The 18075-nt window shown below is 40.7% G+C and overlaps 1 long non-coding RNA gene across 2 annotated transcripts in view; it reads right to left on the reverse strand.

Moving 5' to 3' along the window:
- Positions 1-18075, reverse strand: part of LINC03021 (long intergenic non-protein coding RNA 3021) — a 198360-nt gene that overhangs the window by 45282 nt on the left and 135003 nt on the right. Inside the window, exon 5 of one of the 2 annotated variants that reach the window (NR_125423.1) lies at positions 14612-15876. The exons of the other annotated variant lie outside the window; for it this stretch is intronic. This is a non-coding gene — a long non-coding RNA (long intergenic non-protein coding RNA 3021). Of the gene's footprint in view, positions 1-14611; positions 15877-18075 lie in introns of those variants that run through there. 2 annotated transcript variants of the gene reach the window in all.

An 18075-nucleotide genomic window follows, 5' to 3' on the forward strand; every position in this document is an offset into this window, starting at 1 on the left:
CTCCCTTCTTGAATCCTTGTCTTTTACCAGGAACCTGCTCTCATAGATCACCTGGAAGCCCGAGCTCATGGGTTTCTCCTTCTCTGAAATTAAGCAACTAGAATTTGGTATGAGAGAGCTGTGGGCTGGAGAGGCACTCACGTTTTCATAGCCTCCAGGATGTATGTGGCAGGAATGGAAACACAGGTCAATTGAAGTACAATATTGGCTGAGATTTCCAATGCAAATAAAACATCTGAAAGCTATTTCCCCATTTGCTTTTCTGTTTTTGATAATTTAAAGGCTCATTTAATTCTAATTTTAAATGAGTTTTATTTTCTCCTACATGATGGAAGCAGCAAAGGAGAAAAGTTTAATTGGGGAATGTTTTTTAATTTGAATATATACAAATGGAAATATAGCATAGATACTCAAATCTAATATGCATGATCTACAAAGAGTGGGAAAAAATCTATTCTTGTTGCTATAGTAACTAGAAATTGCTTTCAATATCTCTATTTTGTTTTTCACAGTGGATTGAGATCTAATGTCAATTTTCTAGTATGTTTCCCTGCCACAAAATATTTTCTTCTCCAGTCCAGAATGTTTCTGCCTTACATAGTTCCACTCAGAAAGCTTGTAGAATGTCAGGTACTGCTTTGAAATGTGCTAGGATTTATTTCAATACATGTGAAATACATGGCCATGTATTGATCATATACAACATGCAAAAAAACTACTTTGGAGGCATAAGAACAAAACAGACTAGAACGTTACCACCTGTGGGGCCACTGCTAAGTGATTTCTACCCAAAGACCTTTAGGGGATGATAGAAACAAAAAGTAAATTGAGAAGTACATAAGAAAATTTGGTAGAAAATTCTCCAAAAATGTAGGCAATGCCTTCGAACATGAGGATACAAATGTCACATAAAATAAACTGCACCTAGCATTCTTTTATTCCTTTGCTGATATTTGAAATTCCTAATGAAACTGACTATGTCATTAGAAAAGCAGTGATTGCTTCCCGTCTTTCATGCTTTCTCACAGGACTCTGAGTCTGCCCTGTGGATGCATTCACTCATTTGAAAATATTACTAAACGTCTGCTGTGTGCCAGATGTGTTGGTGAGTCCTGAGGCCAAGAAGGGAGCCGCCAGGATAATGGAGCCTAAGAAGCTGCTCCACTCGGTCCATCCGCGTTTCCTGGGGCTTCCCTACCCTTTCCTTATGCCAGCTCCAAGAAAGGGAAGTAGGAGCCTGGGAGGAGAGGGAGTGGTCTAAAATTCAAGCAACACAACTGATACCTATTGATCTTGAAACACCGTATTATTCTGTTCCCCCCACCCCGTTCCCCACTGCTATAAAGAAATACCTGAGACTGGGTAATTTACAAAGAAAAGGGGTTTAATTGGCTCACAGTTCTGCAGGCTGTCCAGCAAACACAGTGGCTTCTGGGGAGGCCTCAGGAAATAGTCAATCATGGCGGAAGGCGAAGGGAAAGCAGGTACGTGTTACATGGCCAGAACAGGTGAGCACCAAAGGGATGGTGCTAAACCATTCATGAAGGCTCCATCCCCATGACCCAATCACCTCCCACCAGGACCCACCCCCAACATTGGGGATTACAATTCAACATGAGATTTGGGTGGGGACACAGATCCAAACCATATCAAACACGAACACATTCCCAGTGCTATTCTAAGTGCCTTATTAATAGGGATCAGTTCCATGCAAATATCCTGTCCTGTTACATCTCTACACAGGCAATGGGTAGATCAAGAAATATTAATGAGAGAAAATCCACTGAGACTACTCCAGGCACCATCATTGGTACAAAGTGGGGGAAACCAAAGCGGAATTCACTGCGCTCATTCACAGCATGTTGGCACCCAGGGCAATGCGATTCCTGCCGCGTCAGCTTGACTCCTGAGGCAAACAGGAGGCCGACGGCCACGTCAGTGTGTACTGGACACGGCTGAGAATCAGATCCATGTCTCTGCTCCTCTGATCGTAATGCTTCACGTATGACCTCAGGAGTGGAATCAGTTGCATTGTGTATCCTCTTGTGGATGGCTCCCTTACTGGGAGCCTGGCTGTGATCCAGGCACCACCCTAAGCTCCTTACTCACCTTAGCACAATTAAAGGACTCACTTGATTCAGGAAACACCCAAGCCAAAGAGCGACATTAACTTTCCAGCTCACAACCCATTGGTGGCCAAAGTTCTCAGAACTACGAGGTTTCTGAATTCAGAAACTACACAATTCAGATCCTTATTCTAATCCTTCTCTTTATTTATTTAGAGACAGAGTCTTGCTCTGTCGCCCAAGCTGCAGTGCAGTGGCACAATCATGGCTCACTGCAGCCTCAACCTCCTGGGCTCAAGCCATCCTCCCACCTCAGGGTCCTGAGTAGCTGGGACCACAGGCGCACACCACCATGCCCGGCTATTTTTTTTTTGTATTTTTTGTACAGATGGGATTTTGCCATGTTACCCAGGCTGATCTCAAACTCCTGGGCTCAAATGATCTTCCTGCCTCAGCCTCCCAAGTGGCTGGGACTACACGCACGTGAAACCACACCTAACTAATTTTTTTAACATTTTTCTGTAGAGATGGGGGTCTTGGTAAGTTGACCAGGCTAGTCTCAAACTCCTGGCCTCAAGTGGTCCTCCTGCCTCAGCCTCCCAAAGTGCTGGGATCATGGATGTGAGCCACCATGGCTGGTGGCTGTGTACTCCCTCTCTTTAGGTCTCTTCTCACTCAATAGCAATTTTCACGAGGTTGATGATACTAAGCAGACTGAACGTCCGAGCATTCTCACCACAGCATGCACTAACTGGCTGACGTCTCTTCTGTCTGAGCTGTCCTGATGGTGACTAGTGACCCGCCTCTGCCTCCTGCCTGCACTCCCTCACGGTCGGATGTGCCCTCGCTCCTGCAGACAGGCGCTCTGGCTCTTGAGTCCTCATCGTTTCTCTGGGCAGTGTTTCATTCCACAACAGGATCTCCTAGAAGATGTCCTCTCTTAGCAAAATAAGTTTACAATTCCTTTGTCACCACTAAATTCTGTATGGAATCCACTCTTTCTATGCCCCCTTTTACACACAGTAAGTCCAAGGAGGGTTAACCTCACTGTGTCCAGCTGCCAGGTGTCAAGGTGGTGAACGAGGACTACAACTGGGGATGCTGGTGGCAGCCAGCTTAGAAGCAGGGCATCCTAGGTGAGGGGTTCAGCTTTATCTCAGTTGTGCTGACCCATAAGCAGAGGAAACAACTGGGAAGCTGGCAGTGGATGGACAGGTCCTGACTCTTCCGGGCTGGTTGCTGAAGCAGTCTGGAGTCAGAATTTGATTTCCAAATATGCGCTGGCCACCAACCCACTGTGCATTCATTCTTTCCATCTCTTCTGAAATCTAGATGCAGCTCCAACTTTCTCCTCCACTTCCCTACCCCATGTCTCACCATGAACATGGGTTAAGGTTTTCCTCGTAACCTCACGATATTCTTTCAAGCTTTTCTTCCCCTGCCATTGTGTGGCGGCTCCTTCCAAGCAGGCAACGCCACTGGCCTTCAAACAAACAAAGCCGTCTCTTAACCCTGGACCTCACTCTGGATTTTCTTTCCTCCTGGAATCCTCCTCACTGTAGTTCACTTGACTCCTCACGCCCTCATGCCATTCAGCTTCTGCTCATGAGTCAGCCCCTCTGAGATGCCTTCTTTGATTTTGTTTTCCCTTGGTGTTTGTCCAGTGCGTACACTAGTGCTGGAGGCTTCTGTATTTATTTGTAATCTGCCTTTCTAGGGGAAAGATGCTCACTGAGTTATCTCCACTTGAACAGCTAACAGTCATCTTCCATTTAATTTGCCAGAGTCAAACTTCTGATTTCCCTAAACACTGGCAATCAAGGTCTTTTTCTCCCCCCATCTTCCCCATCTAAAACTTGGCAACTTGAAATCCCTGTTGTTCTAGTAATGACTTGACTTCGTCTGTGCTGAGAGGAGGCAAAGAGTTCTTTAGAAATAAAAACCAGAGTGAAAATAAAAAATAAAATCAGTCTAGTCTGTTGTCTGGCAACAAAGACAGGGGAAGAAAAACAGACAAGTGAAATTGGGCATGAGAGTGACTTCTGTTTTTAAGTAACAGAAATACTCCGGAAGGTGTTCCAATGTGAGAGGATGCAGAGGTGATTTCCATGTGACATGAATACACACAGTCGTCCACACAGACCGAAGGCCTGTGTATGCCACAGGCTTGAGCACAACACCCTGCAGACCCCACAGGCATCAGAGCTCAGGGCTGCTGCTTTTCCTCACTCGTGTCGGGGATTCTCACCACTCAACGCACCCCCCACTTCAGTTGCTCAGTATCAAGAGATGCTGCAAACCTCCTATTTTCACCCTAGGATGCCTTCCCTCTCATACCTGGACTGGGATGGTGAAGACCCACCCTGATTCGCAGGTTACTGCAGTTATTATTGTAGTGACTTATGTATGACTTTAAAGCGTAGCACAATGTGGATCTCAAAATACCATGTTAAGGCGTAGCGGCAGGCTGGTTAGGGAGGGTTATCCATGCAGAGCAGGTGAACCCAATGTTGGGGCTTGGCCCAGGAGGGTTCTTGGCTTCACCCAGGAAAGAATTCAAGGGCCAGCCAGTGGTGTTCAACAGCAGCTTTTACTTAAGCTGCAGTGTGCAGCAGCAGCAGCAGAGGTACTGCTCCCCATGAAGCGGGTCACCCCTTAGGCAGTGAGCCCAGAGTCACCACTCAGAGGCAGTGCTGCAGTGTTATTTACACCTGTGTTTAATTATATGCAAATTAAGGGGCAGTGTTTGCAGACACTTCTAGGATGAGCGTGATAATTTCCAGGTTGTCCGGTTGTTGCCATGGAAAGGCGTGGTAACATCTGAGTGTTGCCATGGCAATGGTAAACTGGCATGGCACACAGGGTGTGTCTTACGGAGGCTGCTTCTATCCAGCCCTGTTTTAGCTAGTCCTCAATTTGGTCCAGTGTCCGAGTCCCTCTGGAGTCCAGGCCACCTCCTAGCTCCTTATGGACTAAAAGATTGTGTCTCTCTCCTCAATCCTTATGTTAAAATGTAACCTCTGAGGCAACAGTGTTTGCAAACCATGGCTTTGGGAAGTGATTAGGTCTTCAGGATGGACCCCTGTTGGTCCCTCTTGGTTGCGATTAGTGCCCTTATAAAGGAAGCTCTAGAAAGCACTCCTCCCCTTCCCCTATGTGGGTTTACAGTGAGAAGACAGAGGTGGGCCGCCTGGAAGAGCCCTGGCCAGGGCTGAGCACCTGACACCCTGATCTCACACTTCCAGTTTCCAGAATTGTGAGAAGTCGGTGTCTGTCATTAGGCCACCCAATATGGTATCCTGTTACTGCAGACCATACTGACTCAGACAGGGGTAAAAGGGGGCCTGTGCAGAGCCCTCTGCTCTTGCTCCATGAAACTGGGTCTTCAGAGGAAGGTCAGTTGGGGACAGGACAAGAACCACTAAGGACCGCTTGTGGTGGGAGTGTGCAGGCACAGTACCGGGTACTGCACAGACTTCTTCTCTGCAGCTCACCCAGATATCACGGTCTTCATGGACGCTACCATGCTTTGCACCCTCCCCGAAACCTATACAAACATTATTTTAGAGCACAATATGTAGTCAATCAAAAAATGGGAATGGTGTCCCAAATATTTATTTTGTAGAAAATAAAGTTTAAAAGTATATTTATGCTTTTGTATTTAAAAAGAAAGGAGCCTCTTTGTTCTTTAATGTGAAAAGGCAATCTACAAATCTTAGGTGCTTTTTCTTTAATCCTACACAGAATTAAATTCCCAGTTCTTGATAAAAATTTCGATTTCTATTGACTTAGGTGAAAAACTCCATTTGAAACTATTCACCTTGCCTGAAATAGATGTTCTTTAAGGAGCAGTAGAACAGGTGTCCTAAAAGAAATGCTAACGTGCATTGACTAAAAGTCAAGTTTAAAACTTCTTTCCCCTCTTTTTGAAAGTTTATGGTGATAACGAGCTAAGCGAGATAGAAAATGTGCTCTAGAACTTAAGTTTCTCAAGGACTTAATTTTATTTTTTATAAAACAGCTACTTTATTTTTTCCTTTTTTTAGTTTATTGTGTAAGTTTGTTTCTTCCAAGTAATAATTTTTTCCTACCACTTAACAAAGTCACAAAGATATATTAACCACCTGAGTCAAATAGAGACTTTTTTACACAATACGGTTGTAGATAAAATCACCAAAGTTTCTGCCTTTTTAAAACATCATGTGGGTGACTGTTTATCCTTAACATTTCTGAAACCCTCCGCAAGTAGAGAGCATAACTGACAGAGAATATCCAGGAGAGTGGTGGAGAGGAGGGGGAGGGAGAGACAGAGAGAGAGAAAGAGAGAGAGAGAGAAAGAGAATGTGGCAATGCTTGCTCTTTACAGAAATTGAAAGTACTTTTGTCCTGTTTGATGGAAATTGTCACTTGGAACAGGAAGGTGAAGGCGGATGTCCTAGAAGCCACAGAAAGCAGTTGCTTTTACGTGAGACTCCAAGGATGATACAATAATACTTGAACGTCAACATCTCTCCACTAGAAACCTAAATCTGGGCACTAGAATAACACACATTTGAAAGCTTGCATTGTTGAAATGCACACTTTCTAGAAAAATGTAAGATAATAAATTGACTAAAATTGTAGTAATGGCTTGGTTTTCAGATTCTATTTGCTCTATGAAAGAAGGAAGTTAAGAAATAGTCAGCTTTTGTGTGTTGTTTTATGCTAGATAGGGAAGAGAAAGAGAAAGGCAATATTCACCTGTTAGTGCCAAGTGCAACTATTGTGCATGTAGTTGGATGTAAGAGATGGAGGTCAGGAAAGGAGTCATTGACGGAGTTATAGATCCTAGATTATCAACAAGTCGATGTATTTAAAACAAGAGAGGAGGCTGAGGTCATTGAAGACATGAAGATAAGTAGACGAGAGAAGAGTTCTGAAGAAGAAAATCTAGATTATGCAGATATTTAGAGATCAGAGGAAGAAGAACTTACTAAGGTGGATTCAAAATGCTTAGAGGAGAAACAAGAAGTATGGTGTCCATTAAGCTGTGAAGAAAATGTTAAAACAAAAAGCATGAAGAATGAATGGATACTTAACTCCTGATAAGTAAGAGGTTATTTCCCTTGACCAATTAAAAAAATAAAACAGCTTTATAAGTAGAAAAAGATTGTATTCACACAAGGGAAATCTAACACATCAGCCACTCTTTCCAATCTATTTAGAATAGAGACCTAGATAGGCAGTTTCTATCTGAGTACACTAATAGGGACTTTCATTTTATCATAAAATACACGGCATTTTTACTGAATAAAATAATAGTAAATGGGATTTCTATCATTACCAGTGTCATATTTTATTGTAGTTGTTTTCATTTTTCATTTCTCCAAAATCATGCAAGTTCCTAAAGGGCAAGAAGTATGGATTTCATTTTATTTGTGTCACTATAGCCCTTGATAATGCCCAACACACAGCAGAAATAAAATAAATGTATGTTAAATAAATCACAGGCTCAGTCAGTTGATACATTTAAGTTTTCAACAAGAAAATCAAGTGTTAAAATGATTTTGCATAATTAGACTAAGGTCATATTTTATCTATATAAATATTTGGGAAAATTAGTGGTCTCTTTTAAGTTTTTCCATGCGTATCAAATTCTTGATTCTGACTGCAGATAGTGGGCTTTTTAGCAGCAGACATTGAATGATTAATTTAGGTACAAACCCTCACATTCTGTGGTTTCTTTCCAAACATTTGCAGATAATAGATGTTTTAAGAATGGGAAAGCTGCTTTTGTTTCGTTTGTTTCACTGATTTAGGATAAAGAGTTTGGAGAGTTTAAGTTTTTTGTCTTGAAATTATCCATTTAATTTTTAACTGCAAATATAGGCACTTATAAAGGATGAACAATGCTCAGAAATTCAGAGTAGAATGGTCTATGCTAGAGGTCATCTGGCTACCTCCCACCTGGACATTCCGATAACACTCAAGTAATCTGAATAAAAAGTGAACAACCTCAGCGACAGGCCTCTATTCTCACCACTTTTCCACACACCTCCTTCTGCTTCTGGTTTATTTTAACTTATGAAAAAGTTCTTAACCTCAAACTGGTTATTTCCATCTTTTAACTTTCTCAGATAGGGATGATCTGATTGAAAGTACTTTTTTTTCCTCTCTTTTACCTGTCATGATGTATTCACTGACCTCACCCTCTTCTACAGTTTTAAATGCCATCTATCTGCTGATAATCCAGGATCTAGGACTCCATCAATGGCTCCTTTTCTGACCTCCACCTCTTTTTTTTTTTTTTGAGTTGGAATCTCACTCTGTCGCCTGAGCTGGAGTGCAGGGGCACAATCACAGCTCACTGCAAACTTTGCCTCCCGATTCTCCTGCCTCAGCCTCCCTGGTAGCTGGGATTACAGGCACCCTCCACTAAGCCCAGCTAATATATATTTTTTTGTATTTTTAGTAGAGATGGGGTTTCACCATATTGGCCAAGCTTGTCTCGAACTCCTGACCTCACGTGTCACCCGCCTCAGCCTCCCAGAGTGCTGGGATTACAGGTGTGAGCCACCGCTCCCTGACCTGACCTCCACCTCTTATATCCAGCTACTTACACCATAATTGCACTTGGCGACTAATAGGTGAATATTACCTTTCTCTTTCTCTCCTCTGTCTAGCATAAACGAACAACAAAAGCACACTGTTTCTTAGCAGATTTATACAGTTTGGCTGTGTCCCCACCCAAATCTCATCTTGAATTGTAGCTGCCATAATTCCCACATGTGGTGGGAGGGACCCCATCGGAGGTAATTGAATCCATGGGGGTGGGTCTCTCCCATGTTGTTCTCATGATAGTGAAGAAATCTCATGAGATCTGATGGTTTTATAAAGGGGAGTTCCCCTGCACAAGCTCTCTTGCCTGCCACCATGTAAGATGTGCCTTTGCTTCTCCTTCGCCCTCTGCCATGATTGTGAGGCCTCCCCAGCTATGTGGAATTGTGAGTCCATTAAACCTCTTTCCTTTGTAAATTGCCCAATCTCAGGTATGTCTTTATTAGAAGCATGACAACAGACTAATACACAGATGAGCAGATACAGATATTTACATAAGGCATTTCCTTTTTTTTTTCCTATGGAGATTATGGCAGGAACTCTTTATCACCGATTTACAGATCACACCCTGGACCCAGGGTCTCTCGGGAGGTCTCCAGGATCAGTGGGCATGAAACATCACCCTCACTGATTCTTCCTTGAAAAAGCAAAGAGGACCCAAGCACAAGAAATTTGAGCTGTCACAGAAGTTCTGGTGAGTCAGGCAGCACAGCCACATTTGAGGTTCAGGACCTACACTAAACACAGAGGGTTAAAGCAAAGATTTCATCTTACATTCTGAATATCCCGACTTTCCACAGCCTTCATGGGCTGATCAAAGAAATGGTGCAATCAGAGAGAAGAAAAAAAAAAGAAAGAAAGAAAGATGCGTGCTTGAATATCTTTCTTCAGACCACATGCTGGGTCTGAACAAATGCTCTGATTTCATGTAAATAAATGGTTTAATGGGCTTTATTTTACTTTGTATCACAAATAAAAATTCAGAATGCAAAGGGATAAAAAGAGACTTGAGAAAGCACGTTAAAGATACTGTATATGTCAATCCCACAGGAGACATTGCTCATCACTTTTGAATAAAACACTAATGTGGATGGCAAGCGAAGGTAAAAAAAAATCTTTGATGTTTTTTGGGAGAGGAATCTACAAATATAGCCACTTGATTTTACAAAGATGACATTTTAAAACTATTGTGTATATTCAAATGTATGTCAAAGGAAAGTTAGCCAAAATATTCTGAAAAGAATATCTAACAGAAAGATAAAGACTATTATTGCTCCTTAGATAACGATGATTTTCTTAACATTTCATATAGATTATCTGACATTTGATGATTTTTATGTCTGCCTTTGGAGACACTCATTGATCCGTTAGAAATCCAATGGGCATTCTATTTCTTTCATTGACCTTCCTACTCCATAAAGTCGAATATTTATAGATTACTTAGTCTTGGAAAAAACGAGATGATGAGAAACTGGAAGATACATTGTACTGTCCTTAAAAAGATTGAGACTTGGACTCACAGGTGCTTGAACTTAGATTCGTTAGGTATTTAACCTTTATTTTAAAAATGTTTGCAAATTTATACTCTAATATACTAGTAAATGTGTCAAAAATTTCAGTAATAGCACAAGGAAATTATATAACCTTCACTTAGATTTGGGTTCACATATTTGCTTCCTCTCTGCCATCCCATTCCCTACACACACACACACACACACGCGCGCATGCAACTACACACACACAGAACTACACACTTGCGCAGACACACACACAGAACTACACACAAGTATGCATTGCCCACAGGTACATTTTCTGAACGATTTGAGAGGAAGTTAGAGACTCTTTTACTGGAATTCTTCAGCATTTCATAAGAACAATGACATTATTTTCCAGAACTACAGAACTACTATCAAACTAAGGAAAGTCAGCATTGATACAACACAGTTATCTGTGTGTATTCAAGGATCATTACTTTTCTCAGTTACATTTTTTTGGAGCTATGTCTGTTATTCCCCCTCTTCCAGACCAGGTTCCAGCTTATTATATCTTCTTTAATCTAAACATGTTCTGAGCTATCATTGTCTTTGTCATCTTTTTATGATAACATTTTTAAAGATTATAGATAATTATTTTGTACAATGTACCTTAATTTGTATTTGCCTGGAATTCCTTTAGCTGTAGATAAAGGTAACATATGTTGGGCAGGAAACCTGGAAGTGTTGTAGAATGCTTCTTAATGCCTCCCATAGGAAGGTACCCAAGGTCTTTTTGTCCCAATATTGGCGATACCCGCTTTGGTTTATAAGGTGGTATAAATATAAAGTAAAAACTTTCCCACTTCAATAAATAGCTAATTTACGGAAGGATAATTTGAGATAATGCAAATATCTTGTTTATCCTCAAAATGTTACCCACTAATTTTAGACTTCATTGATAGTATTCCAAACCCATTATTCTATTTATTAGATAGCTTTTCTCATTTATCCATTTATGTATTTCTACCAGTATAGGCTGCTGGGTTTGCATTTTGTTTTATTTTTATTTTCTATGTGTTTTATTCCATAGAATACTCTTTTTGCACTATCAGTTTTTCATGCTCATATTTTCTTATATTTGGACAGTGGTAACCCCTTCAACTCACCCCTTCAATTCCTCCCTCCCATTATTTGTACAATTTCCTCATACTTTCTATGTTTACACATACAGTAAACACACAAGCTATTGTTATTTTTTGCTAAAATATTTTTTAGAGTAATTCAAACAAAAAAAGATTAATTTTAAATTCATTCATCCCATTTCCAGTGCTATTTGTTTCCTTCTGTTGATCCAAGTTTCAGAAACATATTTTATATCAGCCAAAAAAGTTTTTTTTTGTTTTTTTTTTGTGTGTGTGTTTTTTTTAGATGGAGTCTCTCTCTACGGCCAGGATGGAGTGCAGTGGCGCAAATGTGGCTCACTGCAACCTACGTCTTCCTCCCGGGTTCAAGAGATTCTCCTGCCTCAGTGTCCCAAGTAGCTGGGAGTACAGATGCGTGCCACCACACCCAGCTATTTTTTCTTTTCTTCTTTTTTTTGTTTTTTGTATTTTTAGTAGAGACTGGGTTTCACCATGTTGGCTAGGATGATCTTGATCTCTTGACCTTGTCATCTGCCCGCCACAGCCTCCCAAAGTGTTGGGATTACAGGCATGAGCCACCGTACCTGGCCCAAAAAGCTTCTTTATCATGTTTTATAAACTAGGCCTGTCGAAAATAAATTCTTTCCTTCTTTTCTTTCTTTTTCTTCCTTCCTCTCTTTCTTCCCTCCTTTCCTCCCTCCCCTCCCTCCCTTCCTTCCTTCCTTCTTTCCTTCCCTTTTTCCTTCTTTATTTCTTTTTTATTTTTTTTTCCTTTTAACTGACTATTTATCAGTCCTTTTCAAAATACTTTTATGGGCATGGAATTTGGGGTTGACAGGGTTTGTTTTTTTAATTTCTGTAATGTAAGTTTAATGTATTTCTTTTATTTCAATAGGTTTTTGGGGAACAGGTGGTGTTTGGTCACACAGATAAGTATTATAGCGGTACTATCTAAGATTTTGGTGCACCCATCACCCAAGCAGTGTACATTGTAACCAATGCATAGTCATTTATCCCTTTCACTCCCACCACCCTTTTTCCCAAGAGTACCCAAAGTCCATTGTATCTTTCTTATGTCTTTGCACCCTCATAGCTTTGCTCCTACTTATAAGTGAAAACATATGATGTTTGGTTTTCCATTCCCGAGTTACTTCACATAGCATAATGGTCTCCAATTCCATCCAGGTTGCTGCAAATGCCATTATTTCATTCCTTTTTATGGCTGAGTAGTATTGCATGGTATCCACTTATTGATTGCTGGACATTTGGGCTGGTTCCATAGTTTTTCATTTGCAAATTGCACTGCTATAAACATGGGTGTTATCTTTTTTTTCTTTGGAAAAAAAACTTAAAACATGAAACTTAATATATCTTCTGGCTGACATGGTTTCTGATGTCAAATCTGCAGTAATTCTTACTGTTTTCTCCCAAATGTAATTTTTTTTTCTTTTTTCCCTGGGTGTTTTCAAATTTTCCATGACATTTTGAAAATGTGTGTCATGTTTGAGTCTGCTTCTGATAATTTCTTTGTCTCTTAGGAGTGTGTTGGTTGTTTTAGCCTTCTCATGGAACTTCTTATAAGTTTTAGTTAAAAGCCAGGCATGTTTTCAAGGACTATAATGGTGGAGGTAAAGAGATTTTATGGTGGGATATGTCCACTAATTCCCTTCGCTGGCCATTTTCTGTGAGATTTGCATTAATCTAGGACCTGGTGTGTGCTACAGTAACCCTCTGTGACCTAAAACTTTTACCTTTTTTATACAGATAACCTGTGTGCAGGGTGGGGTGGCTTGCCAGAGCAGTCTTGTTCTGTTTGATTCTGAATGTTGTCTTCTCTTTGTGTTGGACCTTACCAAGTCTCCCTTTTCAAGCTCTTGTGTCTCGCCTGTTCTCCCAGAAGTATACTCTTGTTGCTTGTTATACCAACCAGTGAAAGGACAAATAAATGCAAATTAAAAATCAGAGGCTGAGTTCTCCTTCTCCAAATAAGGGAAGAGGTTTTCCTGCCTTCTTTTTCCTAAGAGAATTTATTTTCACAAATTTGTGATTACAAGTACTTTCTCCTTTCTTTGAAATGTATATGAAGTCTTCTGAATATGAGATATGCCTCTTGTCAACTGTATGACCCAGAAATGCCTCTCCTAAGACCTGGGAGCCATCTCTTTGAAATACAAACATTGAGGAAGATAGAGCCCCTGTCTCTGTTCTTGAGGGAACGTTGGAGCCTAATTTCCTGGGGCACCTGGCTCCAAGTTGCGAAACTATATCATTTCACTGGGATATGAGAAGTTTATTTTCCACTGGATAAAGCCAATTAGCTAACACAGATAGTCATCTCAATTACCAGGTCAATCTAAGATGAACTATGTGTAATCAATGATGCTGAGGAGTTGTTCTACCTAAGGGCTAGTTACTGTTCGCTAATCTTGAAAACAACTTTGTAACGGGCTGTATCTGCCTGTTGTATGAAAGCATGAGATCTCTTTCCTTCTTTGCCATCTCTCAGCAGACTGCAGTGTGACGTGTATCCCATTCTAGTTTAATACTTACTCAATGACACAATTGTTCTTTTTGTCTTCTACCCCTGTAGAGAGGTTTTCTGGATCTGGGGGAAATATTGTTTTTAATCATATTTTCCCAACATCCCCCTGTTCGGGCCTGTGGTTGGTGTGTTTGTGGTTAGACATCAGCTTTGCCTGTCTTTGTCCCTGGGTGTCAAGGTAGGGCTAGCCTCTTTTCTCCTGATCCTCCACTATTCCCCCCGATTCTGTCCCCCATCTGGAGTAAGAGTTCACCACCAGCTCCCTGGAGGCCCCAGAGCCTGTTTCCCTCCGTCCTCACACTCAGGCCTCTGTTCTGTAGAGGGGCTGGGGAGGGAAGGGGTCCTGGGTGGGTTTCTTGTCCCTCCCCCGGGACTGCACCAAAATGGATACCAGGCATGTCAGCTGCTTTGCTGGTGAACCCCTTGGTTTGTGGAGAAAGAGCTTTCTGAATATTGGCAAAAGCTCTCTCCGGATAAAATGTGTGTCAGACTTCTCGGAGTCTCTTGATTGTGCCTTGAACTTAGGCTCGGTCCACAGCCAGCTTAGCTCACTTTTGGCTAAAATCCGGCTGGGTTGCCAAAATTCCCACCCTTGATATCTGATCAAATTCCTCATCCCCTACCCTTGATAGTTCATCATCCTGGCCTTGCTTGGACAAGAATCCTTTAAAATGGATAAGCCAGAATCTCCCCGTAGCCATGTCGCCCTAAAATAATCAAAAAGTTCAGAATCTAATTTAAAGAGAATTTTTCAGGCACAAAGTATATGGACCACCCAGAAACACAAACTTCAGAGGAATAGAGTCATGTTCTGAAGTAGAAAAGTTAAGATTTCGTTTATACAGGCAGAGAGAGACAGAGGAGTTTTAGGAGCATTGGGACAGTATTCATCCAAGATTGACACATACTTACAGCAATGCTAACAATGCTAACTGACTTCAAGAATTAGTATAAAGCTGCAATAATCAAGACAGTGTGGTACTGGAGAAAGAATGAACACATCAGTCAGTAGCACAGATTAGAGAGTCCAGAAAGGGACCCACATATACTCAAGTGGTTTTTGACAAAGGAACAAAAGTAGTGCAATGGAAAGGGGATAGTTCATTCAAAAAAAACAGTGCTAAAAAAACAAGATATCCACATGCAAAAAATGTGAATCTAGAGACAGACGTTACACCCTTCCCAAGAACATTAGCTCAAAAGGAATCACAAAATTTGGGACAGCAAATTTGTTCATGCAGCCCTTTCACTACCCATAACTTCCGCTACAGTCCAGACCCTCACAGTCCCTCAAAGGAGCCCCACACCCAGTCACCACGTAAAAAACTGCAATGTTTGAAATACTGATTTTTAACGAGGCAGAAATCCATTTAAAAATGAACACTGGCAGGTGCCTGAAAGCACTTTAGATTATAAAGCACTTAAAATATATACCTATACATGTATGTATTAAAGCTTAAATACACTAGTACCAAGAAACTTTAAGATACATTCAACAAAGAACAAACTCAGGATAAAAAAAAAATGCAGTGTTCGAATAATCTTTACAAAGCACTTTTTAAAAATTTCTAATATTCTTAGAAGACATTTGAACATTAATGCCTTTATAGAGAAATTAACTTAAACACTAAAGAATTCCCTTTGATATTAAAACAATTATTCCCAATGTTTACACAGGTGTTATACTCTATTGATGTGACTTTAGTAGTTCCCTTTAAAATATGATTACTTATATTAGTTAATGGGTAGCTTATTTGTTTTATGTTTACTATGAAGATTTTCATTTTGGGGCCAGGTCCAGTGGCTCACACCTGTAATCTCAGCAATTTGGGAGGCCGAGGCGGGCGGATCACTTATGGTCAGGAGTTTGAGACCAGCCTGGCCAACATGGCGAAAACTTGTCTCTACTAAACTAGCCAGGCGTGGTGGCAGGTGCCTGTAGTTCCAGCTACCTGGGAGAATCACTTGAATCTGGAAGGCGGATGTTGCAGTGAGCTGAGATCGCACCACTGTATTCCACGTACTCCAGCCTGGATGACAGAGCGAGACTCTACCTCAAAAAAAAAAAAAAAAAAAAGTACCCTGTATCTGAATGACATGATTCTTAACATCTAAGCACACTTATTCATTAGAGTTAGACTTATGTAAGAAGCCATTATGCATTTTACTCTGTGTAACTGTCACTGAGCAACTCCTGGTCTTATTGAAAGATTATTAGGTGAAGCTCATTCATTTATTCAAATGGTTACTTAATAAACACCAGTATGACATTTACTTTGTGCAAAGTGCTGTCCTAAGCACTTTGCAATCTCAATGTATTTAAGAAGATTAAATAAGTATAAGTATACACATATAAAATATCAGCTCAATAATAATTATGTGCATCTACCCTAGGAAAGACATTCATCAGTGGCTTTCAGTTCCTGGTAATCTGTAATAATTTCACGTAGCAATCTGTAAATTACTGGTTTAAATCTGCCCCACATCCAGACTGCTGCGTAGCTGGTCTTCCTCCCTGCCATCTATTATAATTACAGCTGACACAGCCACGATACACAACCTCCTTCGCATATGTCATGCATCCAATTGCTGTGCTCAGTAGTAATCCAAACAGATCATTAGCAACTCAACTGCACAGCTCAAAGCTCAACAAACAAAACAGCACCATTGATTCCCCAATATAAGAAAATTTGATGTTGCAAAAATATTTGTTATGATTCTTCAAACTGTAAGTTATTTTAGGGAACATAATGTTATTTCTACCAAATGGTAAGGGCGAAAGTTAGATTTAGATCATCCACATTCATAGAATAAAAGAGTTAAACTACAGCCAATTATATTTTATGAGATCCTACACATCTTTATTCTTAAATTCTTGACTGTATGAAAGCAGTTGAGGAGTAATACACAAATCATTCCTTTAGAATATGTTCTCCTTAATTTTTATGTATGGATTTTGTCCCTGAGGCTTAGATGAATAGAAAACCATCAGCAAACCTATGTATGTATCTTTCACTAGTTTAAAAATGAAAAGCTGTGTTTTGTGGATTCACTACTTTAAATTCTCATTTTTAAAAAATGAATGTTTTTTTTCATTGCCAAAAGATTTGTGATGAATGGGTTGGAGAATGAAGCTAAGCATTTTATTATCAATTTGCATGTTTACTCGGCTTAAGTAAACTTTCTTATCATGAAAATCTATTGTCCTAACAGATTGCCTGAATCCTGTTTTCTACTTGTCTTGAAAATTTACAGTTCCTATGAAGAGCTTTCAAGTTAACACAGGAGAAACTAACGATCTTTTCCTATCTTTAACTGCTACTGGATTCCAAAACCAAGTTATTATTTATCACAATGCTAGCAATGACTAGCACTCAACAGATATTTTTAAATTAATGAATAGATAAAAGTATCAAGAAGCTATACATACACAGCAATAGCTATGACGTACTTGCTCTTTACGTTATTATCTTCTCAAATTTGTGCAAATTATAACTCAGAGAGATCAATTATCTTCCTTGCCTCAGGTCACAAGTATTGGGCCTGGACTTGCATTCCAGATATTTATGAATCCATAGCTTTTCTTCCAGCTACTGCACTGTATCTGCTACATGTGAGTCCATATGTTACTTTTCTCATGTGAAACTCCCAGCTAACTTTAACAGATTTGTAAAATGAAAGCCCCGGGAGGCAAACGGGAGGACAAGTTCTATCTCAAAGATTTCCCTCACACAGGGAAGTAGACGACAGTGGAAGTACGTGCATTTAAAACATTCTAAGGGCCGGGCACGGCAGCTCACACCTGTAATCCAAGCACTTTGGGAGGCCGAGGCGGGTGGATCATGAGGTCAGGAGTTCGAGACCAGCCTGGCCAACATGGCGAAACCGTCTCTACTAAAAATACAAAAAAGTTCCCGGGCGTAGTGGCAGGTGCCTGTAATCCCAGCCACTCGGGAGGCTGAGGCAGGAGAATCGCTTGAACCCGGGAGGCGGAGCTTGCAGTGAGCCAAGACGGTGCCACTGTACTCCAGCCTGCGTGACAGAGCGAGACTCCATCTCAAAAAAAAAAAAAAAAAAAAAATTCTAAGACTCACATGGGGAAAACGAAGACGATGCAAGTGAGACCATCAGCACTAAGCCTGGGAGAAGGGGAATCAGTCTCCTTTGTCAGAAACTGGAACATCGTCGTAACTTTCCATGCATAGTGATGGCAGGACCAGGCTACTCTCAGCCTCAACCACCTTCTCCTGAGC

Source organism: Homo sapiens, chromosome 8 (genome assembly GCF_000001405.40).
Source record: "Homo sapiens chromosome 8, GRCh38.p14 Primary Assembly".
Classification (NCBI taxonomy): Eukaryota; Metazoa; Chordata; class Mammalia; order Primates; family Hominidae; genus Homo; species Homo sapiens.